Source organism: Homo sapiens, chromosome 2 (assembly GCF_000001405.40).
Source record: "Homo sapiens chromosome 2, GRCh38.p14 Primary Assembly".
Taxonomy (NCBI): Eukaryota; Metazoa; Chordata; class Mammalia; order Primates; family Hominidae; genus Homo; species Homo sapiens.
Window position 1 is genome coordinate 36,837,200 of NC_000002.12, and position 16,537 is coordinate 36,853,736.

The 16,537-nt window shown below is 35.9% G+C and overlaps 1 protein-coding gene across 3 annotated transcripts in view; it reads right to left on the reverse strand.

The window, feature by feature from the left end:
- Window positions 1–498: 498 nt before the first annotated feature.
- STRN (striatin) overlaps window positions 499–16,537 on the reverse strand; it is a 128,839-nt gene continuing 112,800 nt past the window's right edge. For all 3 annotated transcript variants that reach the window (XM_005264519.6, NM_003162.4, XM_011533073.3), the window contains 3 exons: window positions 13,801–13,908; window positions 12,515–12,601; window positions 499–12,426 (listed from right to left, as the gene is read on the reverse strand). In XM_005264519.6, coding sequence (XP_005264576.1) covers window positions 12,257–12,426; window positions 12,515–12,601; window positions 13,801–13,908 — 365 coding nt within the window. In that variant the 3' untranslated portion in view covers window positions 499–12,256. The remainder of the gene's footprint in view (window positions 12,427–12,514; window positions 12,602–13,800; window positions 13,909–16,537) is intronic.

Consider the following 16,537-nt stretch of genomic DNA (forward strand, 5'->3'; position numbering starts at 1 on the left):
TTTTCGGGTTTGTTTTTTTTGGGACATGATCTCACTGTCGCCCAGGCTGGAGTGCAGTGGAGCGATCTGGACTCCACCTGCTGGGCTCAAGCCATTCTCCTACCTCAGCCTCCAGGGTAACTGTTGTGCCACCATGCTCAGCTAGTATTTTAAAAATTGTATGTAGAAACGAGGTCTCACTATGTTGCCCATGCCAGTCTCAAACTCCTGGGCTCAAGCGATACTCCTGCCTCAGCCTTCCAACGTGCTGAAATTACAGGCGTGAGCCACCCTGCCAAGCCCTAATATAAAGTTTTAAATGAGAAAAGGTATTATAAACATGGTCAACAAAAATAATATAGTTTTGGAGAAAAACACTGGCAAATAGTAAGAAAAAGGGTTTACATGTAGTATAAAAAGAGCACCTGCAAATTTTAAAAAACACAGTGGAACATGGGCAAAACTTTAATAAAATAACAAAATAAACATTTTAAAATGCAAATATGCAATTCACTCAAGTGAAATTCAAAAGGCAAAGTTTTATTTGGAAAAAGTACTTTTGAATGTGGTCAACAGACAACTTACAAGAGTTGGAAAAAAATGTTTGCATCCAAGATAAGAAAATCTGAACATATATTGTACAACATACAAAATGCTTTCACAAACTAGTTAACTAAAAAGACAAACGGTACAAACATATGGACCAAAAATAAGAAAAATTTAAAAATGTATATAAAAGTATAACTACGAATATTTGTGGTAGGCAGAATTCTAAGATGGCCCCCATGAACTCTGCCCCTCATGTTACTTCCATGGTTGATGTTACATTGCAGGGCAGAGGGACTTGGCAGATGTAATTAAAGCTACTAATCAGTTGACCTTAACAATCTGGGTGTGCTTAAACTAGTCACAAGAGCCCTTTAAAAGCAGTTTTCTCTGGCTGGTAGAAGTAGAGTCAAAGTATAAAAATAATTTGATGCACCCTGGCAAGCTTTGAAGGTGGAAGGGACCACGTGCAAGGACCACGGAGCAACCTCTAAAGGATCAGATTTGACAGTCAGCTAGGAGACAGGGACCTCCATCCTCTGACTTTAATGAGGCTGGAAGCGAATTCCTCCTCAGAGCTTTAGTTGAGTACCCACCCTGGAAGACACTTTCATTTCAGCCTTGTTGGGCCTTGAACAGACAGCCCAGTTGAGTTTCCCTGGAGTTCTAACCTACAGAACTTTGAATAGATAATTCAGTTCTGAGTGCAATCCAGATGACCAAAACATTTGAAAAGATGTCTACATTTATAGTAGTCAGGAAAATGGAAATTAAAATAACACTGAAAAATCACTACATCCACCAGGATTTTTTTCTTTTTTCTACGTATTTTTTAATGTTACAATAGTTATTGCCATGAGTATTAAGGGAAAAGTGTTTTTATACATTTACTGATGGAAATAAAAACTGTTCCGGCCACTTTGGGAAACAATCTGTCAATATTTATTTAAAAATTTAAATATACATACTCCTCAATGCAGCAATCCTACTCCAGGGAATCTATTCCGCAGACGTAAAACCATCATGGTGACAAACATATACACAGGAATGTTTATTGTAATAATAAAAAGGAAATAAGAGCTATGATAGACTTAGAGAAATTCTCATCCTACATTGTTAAATGAGAAATGTGAGATGCAGAGAACGTACATGATCCCATTTATTTAAAGCAAACTGCCCACCAAAATATCTTCTCATTAACGTTAGACTGTATATGTTTACTGATAAATTTGAGAGACCTTTAAAAATTTGTAAGGTGCTCATGATACACATTATATTAGAAAAAGCAAGTGCAGCATAATATGTAGAATAAAACCCCATATGTAATAACTGGGTATACACATTTGTATGAATAATTAGAAAGATACATATCAGGGAGGTAGGAATGAAGGGGTATGATGGGACATGCTTCGTTTTGCCATTATGAATCTTTATGCATTGTTTTTTGCATTTAAATTCATTTCTGTCACTTTCTTAACCTGAAAAACATCAAATCATCCCCCTTCCCTGCTCTATTTTTTTTCCCTCTGCACTTATCACTAATATTCCCTATATTTTCACTTGTTCCCCCACCTGGAATGTGCTGCATCAGGTGAAGTTTTTGTTTACTGCTGACTGCCAGCAACTAGAACTGTGTGGCATATAGCTGGCACTCAAATATTAAGGAAAGTAGTCTTCTGCTACTCTTGATGTTCATTTTAACCTATTTCTCCTAAAACCCTGATGTTCTAGAAGCTATCAGGAGTGTGACCGAACTACATGACCAGAAGTCTGTATTCAGAGAGTGAACAAGTCATTTGCTGGATGCTTATTTTATTAGGTGTTTTACATCCGTTATCTCAAATCAACCTAATTAGGCAGATCTATTATCCCCATTTCATAGATGAGAAGCCAATTTAGAAGAGTTGACTTGTCTAAAATCTAACAGACAATAAATGTCCTATTGTCCAGGCCAAATTCCTGCTTTCTTCTGTGTTGAACTGATCTTAAAGGAATCATATTTTTAGTAATTTTAATGACAGTTCTTACATGGTATATGTTTAATGTTGAGATTATTCGTTGAATATTTCATATGTAATTTGCTGATTCTTTTAATGATTTAAAGTCATTTGAATATTAAATATAAATAGTTGGTCTCTAACTTGTTGACTGTTTTATTCCTAAAACAATTGCACTGTTCAGCTAAAGCCCTGGGCCCTGCTGGAGTGCTGTCAGAAAACCAAAGACAGAGATGTTCCTAGGAGAGTTAATAAACATTGGTACAATTACTATAAAATCTTCAAGACAAAAACCAGCCTGAGAGCATCCTGAGGAACTTTGTCCCAGAATTTTCCTCTCCAAAGAAAGCTCCCCAGAGGGATGCCTTTCCTGACAAGATTCCACTGGGAGGTTCGTCTTTCTCCTGGACAACAGCAGTCAGTAGGGCCATCTGTAGGTTGCAAGGAAAGAGTGTGGAAGTGGACCTGTTCTGAGCCCAGGATAATCAAGGCAGGCTCAGGTTCCAGGCTAGAAAAGCTCCCTTTCAACTGATCAGAGGCCAGTGGGGAACAGGGGATGAGCAGAGGAGATATGGGGGTCCGGGGATAGATGGGAGGTCATCAACAGGGTTTAGGGACACCTTCCTGTCCCCACCATGCTCTGCTCAGTTTTCACGCAGGCAGGACTGGAACTGTGCAGTATAAAGACGTTGCTACTCAGGCATTTTGTTGCTACCTGTGAGGTAAAGTCCAAATTCCTCTCCAGTCAAGGTGCAGACCTCAATCTCAGGATAAGCTCCACAGAACCAAATGCATTTGAGCATCAACTGTCAAGAGATTTTTTTTTTTTTTTTTTGGTCTTTGATGATTTGTATAATTTAGATTTTGAAATGGGCTCTCTGATTACTCAGCCAACAAATATTTATAGGGTACCTTTTATATGGCAAGGCACCAGGCACAGTGCTAAGAGGAACATAAGAAAAACGAACATGGTCTGTGCCTTAGGGAGCTTATATAGACAAAAGCAAACAAATAATCATTAACCTTTATTTTTGTAGGTGACAAATGAGCAATGCATAATATGCAAAATCTGGGTTAAGGGAGAGAATCAAGATATTCAGAAAAAAAATCTCATTACCTGCTCCTCATGCCTCAAAAAAAATCCAGAAGATTTTGAAATGCAGGAGATAAACATCACATATTCCTTATTAATCTTTGTATTCCAAAAATAATTTCTGAAAATCACAGGAAAGAAAACTTTTGTGTATTTATTAGCAGAGGCAAGCTATACTATCAATTGGACACCTCAAGGGCACAAAATTGCCTGGAACTACAACCTTCAAGTTCAAAATTTCTACCTCCAGAAAGCAATGATGTTTCTAAAGATTCTCTTATTTTTTAATTGTGATTAGTAGATGTGTATTCCTACGTATTCTACAGCAATGAGAAATAAGGAGCACATTCTTTTTTTTTTTTTTTAATCAAATCGATTCTGACAAAAGGAGTTTATTGTCTTGCTTGTTAAAAGGCTGACCAAAAAGAAAGTAAGTCTGAATGTTTCAGAGTTGGGAGAAAGCCTGATTCCTTCTGACCCTGAGATATACAAGGAAACTGAACAAATACCAGGCAGCAAAATACTGAGACATTTACCACATAAGAAAGCATTCTTACATAGCAGTTGAGTACTGGGAAGGTTGTTGGGGAGGGTATTATTCACAAACAACTGTCAAAAGATATGAGACCACCGAGTTTTTCTTTTTCTAAAAATCACACTGAGTGATATTATTCTATCAAGAGGATATTCTGAAATACGTGGGCTATCGAAAAAGATGTAAGTACATTTTAAAAATGTTTTTAAAAGCATAGTCAAAACCATTCAAAAGAGAACTCACTCTGTAAAAACGATTCTCATATTTTTTCATGAGATTATCACTTGGCTACTTTAGGATATTTCTTACATGCCTGGTCTTCATCCTGACATATGCAGATGACACAAAATACTTGGGCTTATATTTTTACAGCTTCCTAAAATATAATGAAAACTATTTCCTCTGACACTTTGCCATGGGGCTCTAGGATACTTTTGATATATTTCCTAAAAATATTTAATTTAGATAACAAGGACCAATGACAAGCCAGAATTGGAACCATTCATTCTTTGAGGTCAGAAGTGGTATACTGCCAGCCCATTGAAGTTGAAATGGAAGACAATGTGGCTCAGGCCACAGGGTCAGTTGCTTCTCCTTTTTGGTAAGGTACTTCTTTCCCCACACTCTCACCCAAGTTATCCAGCCCCCAAAATAAACTGTTTCTGATAAAATTACTTTTGCTCTAAGTTAATTTTGTTTATGCATGAAAAATTATTGTCTTGGTCCCATTTCCAAAGGGAAGTAGTTGGATGCCAGCATACTTTAACATTTCGGCACATATACAAACCACAAGCTGTTTATTTCTACAACTCACGATTAATGTAAAACGTTGCTTTCCATGTGCTTTTTTTTCTTAAAGTTTTCAGTTTGGGCATATTTAATTGTGGATGATGGGTTTCCCTACCATTACCCTTAATTTGATGCTATTAGAATTTTTAAAAATCTTTTGTTTGAGGCAATGAATTGGGAACCTGGTACATACACTAGATTTTATGATGGCATAAGAAATTATAGCACATAAATTAATAACACTATAGTACTCCAAGTGCTGTTTAACAGATGTTTTACTGTGGGCTCTCCTTTACATCACTGGGTTAATTACCTAAAGAGGGACACAGAAAAAGTCAATGTGGAGCTGGCATCTGGACCACTCTTCACGTAAGGTGAATGGCTAAATCACCAAGGACAAGATACTTTTCTATGAAATAGGTCCTTCCTATCAGTAGGTTATTGCAGACTTTGCTCACCCAAATAATGACTTCCAATCTAACTGAAACTACCATTACCTTTAGTGAAATATCAATTAGGAATAAGGAAAGGGTTAGGTTTTGTAGGGTTTGAGTGATACTTAGAAGCGAGTCATTTTATGTTTGGTGGGTTTTGAATCATTTGATATACAAAACTTACTGAGTTAAAATTTGTGTTTCAGAAAACGGATTCCAATTTTCAGAGCCGTATGTCAGTGCTTCCTTAGAGAACTGGAGTGTTCTGGTCATCCTGAGAAGTAACAGGCGGAGGGATGCTCCATGATTATAATGTTTAGGTTAAAAGGTATGCTTGACTCCCAAGGTGTTCTGGGAATATTTTATGTGCCAGGACAATGCTGGGGCCCTGCAAAACATCAGTGATCTTGGGAAACCCAGAGGAGGTCAGAATACTACCTGGCAATCTTAGGCTGACCCCAGGAGGTTCATCAATCCGTGAATAATTTTTGGAGTTTTAATGACCTCCTGAGATAGATCTCCAAAATTACTCAAGCTAATCATGTCTCAGTTCTCATTAAAAAGATAAAAGAGGTGTTTCCAACACTACTGAAAATGTGTGTACATACCAAAGGATATAATACTCATTAGTATACCAGCATACAGAACACCAAACAATGGTGGATAGTTTCAAGGATATCAGAAGAGATGCCTTTTAAATTTCATATTGTATTGTGGATCCTGATTGGAACAAAAAGACTGTGAGTTCTGGGCAGGCCAAAGGCCTTGAAAAATAATGTTGATTTGAAGGGGCAGGGAGTGTGGAAGGCTTGTGTATGTCTGTTAAGTAGCGAAACAAAAAATAAAAACATTGTATTTATATATGTGTATAAATTTTAAAAGCCATTTAAACTGAACATTTGAAAAACATAAAACCTATTCATTAAACATATGTGTCTCTGAAAGTACCACTGACCCAATCCTAGAAGCTATTTTAATTTGGCTTTTCAGAGGCCCAAATTCTCTATAAACTTCTCCTTCCTCACAATCAGTAATTAAGACTGGTTCATTAATTTTGGACTCATGTATACTTTGTCTAATATCCTTTTATTTCTCTGCACCCCTCTACAACTCCTCCCCCAAAAGCCCCAAATCAGACTATGTTAATTTAACTGATTACTGTAAAGCCACAGCTAGATCCCAAATCTGACAAATATTCCAATTCATGAGACACCTATAGCATGTTATCTATATTTGTACACTTTATTTAAAAACAAATAATACACTTAGAGCCACCAAAGATGGATATCTTAATTAGCTTATCCATACCCTGAATTTACATAAGAAACTTCTTGCACCACAAAAATTAGCATTTGGATTAATTTACATTAATTGATGTAACTAAAATTTAAAATACCTGAAGATCAAACAATCTGGCCCAGGGCTCACCAGCTGGAGGACTGGGTGTGGAGAGAAAGGGTTATTTAGGAATCTGAATTGATGACACCCTGTGGTCAGCTCTAGTCAACTGAACTTGAGAAAACATAAAGTAACCAGCAGATTTCAATATTAAAAAGAAGTGGTTCCTCCTAAAAAAGGTATTAGATCATAGAGTTGGGATTAGGGTAGGGGATACCTATTAATCTGGGCTGGAAAAAAAGTGTGTGGAGAAGGGGAGTTGTATTGTTTTCTCACAAGAGGCAAACTTCAGCCAAACAATGAAGAGATAGTAGGGAGGGAGATGTGTGGTAGACCAAAGACTTTCTGATTGCTGATAATAACAAATTTAGCAGCTCTCTACAAGTCAATTAAAATACCATTCTCTGAGACATTTTCAGAGAGGAGCTAACTAACACCCACCCAGGGGGGAAAAATCATTCTACATTAACAAGGCACTCACTGGTTCACAGCCTGTTAAAAACCCAGGCAGACATTAGAATCTAAATTAAAATGATTTTGAAAATTTGCATCAGAGAGATGACAAGCATGTGGTCCTGGTTAAATTAAATCTAAAGCTTGGATTAGCAAAGATCCAGAAAATTCTGACCCCCTAAGCACCACTTTAGGAATACCGCCAGAATCAATGAGTGGGATCTAGGGATCTGTTTGGCCTAACATTTGTTTTTTTTAGAATTAAAAAAACAAAACAAAAACTGAAAGGATCTGTTAAATACTTTGTCAACCTGGCATCCCTGACACTGACATGAAGATCCAGTTGGATGATGGATATTGCCAATTAAAAAGTTTGTAGTGGCAAAAGTAAAAATGATTCAAATTGACGAATGACCTGTCCTTTGTTTTTAAACACAGATACGTTTTTCTGGGCCTTTCTCTAAAATGAACTTTAGGGCTTGATACATTTCACAAAAATATACATATTTTTCGTCAGCTACTACTTTGTATACAACCTGAATCCCAGTGTCCAACACTTAAAAGTACTGCAATTATATAAATTACTAAACAAGTTAACAGTAATGGAGAGGCAACTTCTGAGTAAATAAAATGAATGATTATGTACTTAATAGCCTTGTAGTCACTTTCAAAGAATAAAGTAATCTAAATAAAATTATACTTAGCACTCTTTTTCATGTAAGTTCAATAATTATTTGGCTATTGGTTGAAAACATCACACAGACAGACACCAACCAAAGATTCATTATCTCCACTCGCTAAAAACATTGATGGTTAATTTTAAGCAATTCTTTCAAAGAAAAACAAAATTAATTCTAAGCCTTTCAGTCTGATTTGTGACATCTTAATACAATATAACTTAAATGACAAAGCCTGAGAAAAGCACCAACATAGATTTTTTTTTAATTGCATCCAACCATCATTTCAGATGTCATAAAGATTTGCTTCAGTTAAAATGGCAGCAATGACAAAGAGGTAGATATGAGAGATGCTTTTTAAATATTTTAAGACTATTCTTAGGTGGAATTTTAACTAGTTCAGGTATTTAACCTAAAAATATTTACTAGTTGAATCTTTACCACATAAGAACTTCATGACATGCTGTTTTGTAAGAGGGAAATATATGAAGTATTAAAAAGTGAGCCTTTAAAAAATTACATTTACTTAGCCAACATTAATGAGATCCCATAATTTTGGTGAACAAATAATTTCTCCTTCTACCTGAACTTTACTATAATTAAAGAATAGCTATTGTTTTCTCTACTGAAATTTCTAGGAATTCACATTCAAAATTCTTGGAAAGTATATATGGTGCTCAGAAGAGCACAAAGCGCATGAAATGTCCCCTGAAGTCCTAGAAGTTGAGCAGATACATTAAAAAGACATTGATGGTCACAAATCAGGACCTTCACAGATTGGTAAACACACACACACACACACACACGCATGCATGCACACACACACACACACACACACACACACACACACACTAACTCTCTCTCTCTCTCTGTGCCCCCCCTCCCACCCCCTCCCCAAACTCAATCTTCATCCTCACTGTAAGGCTGCATTTTTTTTTTTAAAGGCACCTCTCATTTTCTAGCTATTGCCTTCTTGATGATATTTGTTTTTGTTAAAAAGTCTGAATGTTCAATGGAAATAGTTCAGTACTGAGAATAAAATATTTTTCAATTCACATTTGAATAGCCAGGTTTTCTTACATTCAGATTTTAATACACTAGAATGACAGTCTTTAAAACAAGCATGCTAGCCTATAATGAATATTGTATATACAGTAATTTAAACACTTAGAACTATATATTATACTGCAAAAGCAAACAGCACAACACTCATCATACTCATCATTATCTGCTGTGTATACTACCTCCAAAAATGAAAATACAAAACAGTAAAATGCACCTATGGTTTATATATATATATATATATATATATATATATATATATATATAGTTTATATATTATATATATTCTTACAATATATATAATATATATTTATAAAATATACATACATTTTAGACATTTTCAAATAAATCTTCATCATTATCTCCAAAAGAAATTTATAGCAAGAATACTGAAGGAATGAAAGTCAGATTAAAAAAAAAATTTCTCACAAAGTTCATCATCAGTGATGCAGCTCAATTTCCCCCGTTTTAGTCATAACTAAAATGATTATAAAAGCGAAATATTTTGCATAACTAAGTATTTGTTTAATGGCAAAAGTTGTTAAACTTGTTCAATAGAAAAATACTGAAGGTCATTATATCACTTTTGTTAAATAATCTGTCTATGGTTTGAGTAGCAAATGAGCTCCATATGACAGTTGAGTTTTGAGAAGGGTGCTGCAAGCTCCCAGAGATGTATCCACAGCATATGAAAATAAGGCAGGGATCCAAACCTCCCGCTAATTTTCATACTATTCCAATACATTTCAAACAAAATATTTACAAATGAAGCACTATGAAAGCATTTCAATGGCTGTTTAAACATTGAATTTGTTCATTCTGTGAATTTTCATTGAATGTTCAACAGGCTAGGGGAAAAGTCAGACACATGTATATGCTACTCTGGTTGGAAGACAGCTTTGGCTCATTTCTAGGCTGAGATCATGCAGTGCTGGTAGAGAAGACTCTCTCCGTAGTCTCCAATGCCACAGCACTGGCTTTCTAAGGAACTTTCAACAGTTCCATTTGCGCTACAGTCTATGTATCTCATGGTTATTTTCCACTCACTGACAGAAAAATTTCAACCATGAAGCATAAAATGAACGGGGGAAGAATGTCCTGGTTTTTAGAATTTCAGTGACATTAATAAAGCAGTAACTGAAGATCTTAGAAGGTAATTAATAACTGGTAGAACAATAGCTTTGTGGTCATCCATCATAAATACACCAAGTAATGGCATCTTCCTTCCTTCCTTCCTGGAAGGAATTTTCCAGTATCCTTCTACAAATGTTAGGTTAGAAACATTCTTTCTTCACTGTGAAGAACCAAAAGAAATTTACTGAACACAATATGGAATTCTGTATCTGCATGGAAATATTAAGTATTCACCTGACAGCTCATGTTTAGGTCAATTCATTTAATTACACAAAGCAGTCTCTTGAGCCTGCTTGTTAACCAAAGCACAAAGATGAAATGAAAAGGTAGCTGTATTACTACAGCATATCTGTATGAAAATCAGGCAAATTTAGCACAAGTCTCTAGCTTTAAAGAAAATTTGCCTGTATAATGCAGAATTCTAGAGGCAAACAGGCAGAAATTTTACAGAAATATTTGTCAATCATTAGCCACACCACCACCAGAATACTTTTTCAAGGAGTAGATGTACGTATCATGAGAAGCATCATTGTTATGACGATGGAAAATGTGGGGAATGGAATATGTAGAAATTGTTTTAATTGGTTAAAATATCTATAGATTTAATATTTTTAAAATCTAAGAGCCTATTTATATGTTTTTTGGTGGAAAGTTGGACGTTAATAATTTATTTCCAATTTCTAGATTGGTCTCTGTCATTTGGGACAAAGAGTAAGAGAGACATAAACCACTATAGAAATAATGTCTTTATGACAGGAGACTAGGTCTAGATAGCAGGGTCTTCAGAATCCCAAAAGGTGAACACATGTAGGTGGGTCACAGGTAAGTTGGGCTGGGGAAGCCTGGCCTTTTAAGGTGTGGATTTCCCCAGAAACAATACTGATCCACTGCCCATTAAAACATGTATATCTCAATTAAACAATGGGGGAGGAATAGGGAGAGAGAAAGACAGAACTTTTTAGCCAATATTTGGCATTAAACTCTTTCATCCAGGTTTCCAGGAGATTCTTACAGGGATTAATAGAGGACTTCTAGGGTACAAAATATTTGTTTTTATTAGTGCTTCTGCAAAAGCAGCTGCGTGAAGTTAACCATACTCTTTGGGCTATTAATAATTATGAACTGTTCTTGGTAGATGTCAGATAACTTGAACGTGACAAAGAAGAAAGAGCACAGATCATCTGAAGCATGATTAGGTGGGTGTTGATAAATGATTATTAGCAAATAAATTCTATCTTTTCAGTCACTGAAAAGTAAGATTTCATTGGTATGAAATAATCACTCTGGTACTATAAATGTCACATGAATAAAGTGAATTTTAAAATAGAAATTATTAAAGAGATATGCCCTGTTTACCCTTAAAAATAAACAGAATTTCAAACCTGAATAAGTTAAATCTGTTAGTAAAAGCAGAGTCGATCAACTATTCTTCACAATGGTGAGTGCTTGATAGCTAAACTTTAGAATGATACCAAATCTGTTTTCAAAACTGTAATACAATATAGAAATCTGCTTGCAAACTATTTGTCTAGCATTTCTGAATAATAATATATTTAACATATTATTGCATTTTTCTCCCCCTAACAGGTAAAATGCTTTGCCAGGTGCTTTATGTGAACAGCTGAAAGGAGAGTCAAATTAAAAACTCAGTTTAACACTGCCTGGTCATTATACACAAAGGGGTTAATATGGCAGATATGATAAAGATTACTATTTTGACTACTTAATGTGTTTTAACAAGATTTCTCAGGGGAGAACTTGGTCTAAGTTTCCCGTTTTCTTCTATTCAGTCCCAGCTATCAAGCTTTTAAATTATCCATTGTAGCATGCCCTACTTACTCAACAGGGACAAGCTAAACTTGTATTCGCTCAGGCCTGCCTAGCGAATTAGAACCACCTCAGAAATAAAGGCGCCTATTGGGGAGAAATTTGAAACAGACCTCAGGCTCACAGATTCAGCTGAGCTTGCAGCAACCTGAACAAACCTTAGTTTTAGAAAACAGTATATGAATTGCAAAACTATACTTCAACAAATGTTCTCTGTGCTCCTTCAGCAGAACAAAAGGGCAGGACGAGATGATTCTTGCCCTCGTCTTCTGTATCTCTTGTGTGCAGTTGATTACTTATAAACAGCTAGAAGGTGAAGATGATGCATTGCGTCATACAAAGACTTTAGCCAGTGCGTCAGCTCCAGCACTGGCTATATAGCATTTGGATGGGTGGAAAGCTACATCATGAATCGATTCTTCAAACTTTTTTCGATGAGCTGTGAATTCTTGGATACACGTCTTACTTTCTAGATTCCATAAACGTATTGAACAGTCATGACCTATATCCAAAAAAAAAATTAAAAGGAAAAATTACATTAACATGAAAATGGTAAGGACAAATAAATAATCCATAGTTGAGGTACTTACTGCCAGACATCAAGTAAAGGCCATTGGGATCAACTGCTAAACTTGTAACAGCTTCTAGGTGGGCTACCATCGAGTGGATCAGTTTGCCTTTGGAAAAAGAGATTGTTACTCCTTATTAATGCCTTTCCTCATCTTCAATATTTGCCAGCTACCATGTCCTGCTGGTTTCTCCAGTCATCCCTCTCTGTGTGCTTACTGTATTAATAGCTTTTTCCATCACCTAAAACAACATGTCTCCCTCTTGCCTCTAGTCATGGCAATGATATGGAAAACCAAAAAAAGCTCAAATTTTAGATTACACTTTTGTCTTTTAAGCCACGATATGGAAGTCAGTAATTTCTACACGCAACCCTTAAGCCACGTTTGTTAATTAGAACTTAGACATTATTAATCACCTACTTTGCATTCTTTAGCTACTGGCAAATTATGAGTTGTGGAAACACAGAATTCAAATTCACAGAGAGAAAACAATGAGGCAAGGAAAAAGGGACAGAAAGAAAACATGGCCACAATTTTGGTGGATACAACATACAGAAAAAAATTTTAAATATTAAATGATTCATCACCAGCAGCTAAACAAAGTCAGCAGAAGTCAACATATTAACAAGGCAGATACTTAGGTAAATATGGCAGCTAATATAGGGTGCTTTCCTCCCAGCACAGTGCTTCCTAAATTTCCTTTATACTGGTGAAATGTAATAAAATAAAACTTGGGCAAATCTCCATGCACAATTCAAATCAATGAGGACCAACCAGTCAGTTTTATAATACAGAAAAGATTAGTCTATGGAAAAACGAATACAATGACCTGGAGGTTTTCCATCCGCAACACTAAAAAAGGCTATTTGGTAATGGAATAATTGAATATTGAATAATGCTATTCAATAACTGAACAACTTTAAACAAAATATAATGACCATATGCCTCTATTTCCAATGTTTCTACTTTTCCCCAATATATAATACTACAATAGATCATAGCAACAGATCATTTTTATTTGTATTTGAGTGAACTTTTCCTGGTGTCCCTAGTGATAACCTTGGCTCTAAAGCCTACATATAGCATCTGCTCACTATTAAATAAACCAAAATGATTCTGTATTGTATAATAAAGACTAGTCTTAGCAGATTTGGATAGAGTGAAGAGAAACTGAGACGGGAGAGTATTTGGGGTTCAGTGCCTATTCCCTGACTACGAAACCACCAAGAGACACCAAAATTAGCCTACTTGTGGTAGGGATTTTTTTTTTTTGCTTTAATAAAAATCAATTCTTAATAAATTCTTACCTGTATTGTTATCATAGAATTTGATGTGCCTGTCTTCATGAGCAGTGATGCTGATCGGAAGAGTAGGATGACTGATGACTCTATTTATTTGGCAGGAAGAGTTGGCTGCTAAAAAGAAAAAATTAAAAAGCAACACAACTTAGTCAAAGATATTTTTCACACAAAGGAGAACTGAATTATCTATCTAAGAGACTGAAAAAGTAGGCCGGCCGCGGTGGCTCACGCCTGTAATCCAAGCACGTTGGGAGGCCAAGGTGGGTGGATCACGAGGTCAGGAGATCGAGACCATCCTGGCCAACATGGTGAAACCCTGTCTCTATTAAAAATACAAAAATTAGCCGAGTGTGGTGGTGCGTGCCTGTAGTTCCAGCTACTCAGGAGGCTGAGGCAGGAAAATCACTTGAACCCGGGAGATGGAAGTTGCAGTGAGCCGAGATCGTGCCACTGCATTCCAGCCTAGGTGTCAGAGCGAGACTCCATTTCAAAAAAAGAAAAGAAAAAAGAAAAAGAAAAAGTAATAATGTGACTTTCATTATTTGTCTTTAGTTCATTTATTCTGTGACTGTTTTCAAAATTTCAATGTTAGGAAAGAGAATTGCCTGATAAATCTGGAAATATTTATAAATTACAATTTCCTGCTATATGTGGGTGCCATCTATGGCTTAGTCTAGAGCCACTAACGCTGTTCATTCTACAATGTTCTGTGAGATTTTGCTACTTTAAGTAAGTTCTATCATCACTTACATGGAGATAATTCTCAAATTTAAATCTCAGCTCTTTTTGCATACAAAGTTCTGTATCACATCATTATCATCTAAAGATATATATGACAAAGAGGGCTTCTTAATCCTTAAATCCCTTTATCACTCTTCCTCATCATAATAGAAATGGTCATTTGACAGAACTAGGTTTGGAATCCTAAAAGTCAGCATCCTAACTGTATTTTTTGTGTTAGTAAGTTCCAAAGAAACTTCAATTATACACACAATGAGACAGGCAAGCACATATCATTAAGCCTATATTACAGTGAACACATCAAGGTTCAGAAAAAGTTGTGACTCCTCCACAATCAGGTGACAAAATCAGTACCTATTCTAACTTCTGACTCTCTCCCAACCTGATGGTTCATGCAGATCACACAACTGTCAAAATTGGTTCCTAAATGATCACACATTCTTCCTGAAAGGCTTTTATTAAAAAGAAATCAGTAATTTAAAACCTCAGTGATTTCTGTTAAGCTTTTTTTAAGAGAAAAGAAAAACTGACATAAAGAAAACACTAATTGAAGGTATGTCAAAGTTTTAAAAATTAAATTATGGTCCAGGGAGAGGAAGGGGTGTCCTTGTAAAATATATTACTGGAACAACTCTCAAAATTTGAATATAAATAGTAATTCAGATAATAGTATTGTGTCAATGTTAAGTTTCCGGATTTTGATCATTGTAATACACTACATCAGAGAATGCCCTTGATCTTAGAATTACACGCTAAAGGATCTAGGGGAATAGGAGCATGACGTCTCTCATATGGTTCAGAATTAAAAATTATACACATATATAGAGTGAAAAAGCAAATGTGACAAAATGTTAAAAACTGCTAAATATGTGTGAAGGGTAGCCAGAAGTTCTCGTACTATTTTTGTACCTTTTCTGCAAGTTTAAAATTATTTCAAAATAGAGTTTAAAAAATTTTTTGAACCCTAGAATAGGTATTACAAGTTTATATTCACATAATAGAAAATACAGCTAAAAATAGTCTAATCTTACAGGATTTTCATGTGGCTCCTAGAAATATAACATCTTAAAAACTGAAGACAGTCTTTTCCCAATGCTAGTGGCAGGTAATTACCCAGCCTGTTATTTAAATATAAAATGTGGCTGGGCACGGTAGCTCACACCTGTAATCGCAGCACTTTAGGAGGCCGAGGCAGGCGGATCACTTGAGGTCAGGAGTTCGAGACCAGCCTGGCCAACATGGTGAAACTCTGTCTCTACGCAAAATACAAAAATGAACCAGATATGGTGGCACACGCCTGTGGTCCCAGCTACTTGGGAGGCTGAGGCAGGAGAATCGCTTGAGCCCAGGAGGTGGAGGTTGCAGTAAGCTGAGATCGCACCACTGCACTCCAGCCTGGGCAACAGAGCGAGACTCTGTCTCAAAAAAAAATAAATATAAAACAAAAACTCACTTGACCATGTGGAGTAAGTTCTTAGTCAGTTACACCTGGTTTAGATCCTAAACAAAGAGATGTTTATTTATAAAATTCAGACTACGCATTATTTCCTCCACAGATAATACTCCATTGAGCAACACCCGTGGTAAAGTCCAGCAAGAGAATAACAGTAACAACAAAAAAAGAAATACTTTAAGTGAAATATCCCATATATTCTGAGAGAGACGTTTCAGAGAATAGCCTCAATTGCTTTGAGAGCTAGAAAATAAATATGATTGAAATCAAATCATGGAAACAGGCAAAAGAAAGTTCTTATTTGGTAACACTTTTAAGGAAGCTTCTCCACTTGATGATAAATCAGAGAAGTCGGCAGAATGCAAAGAACACTACTCATACCTAGCTTGTGACGTATCTGCTTCAACTACCTTTGACTTTACCACAGTCAAATCGCCATTGACATCAATGAGAAGAAGGGTAATTTATTCCTATTCTAACAAACATCCTTCATCACTTTAAACTCTATATAAAACTCACTTTCTCCTTGAAGCTTGTTTGGTCCTTTCA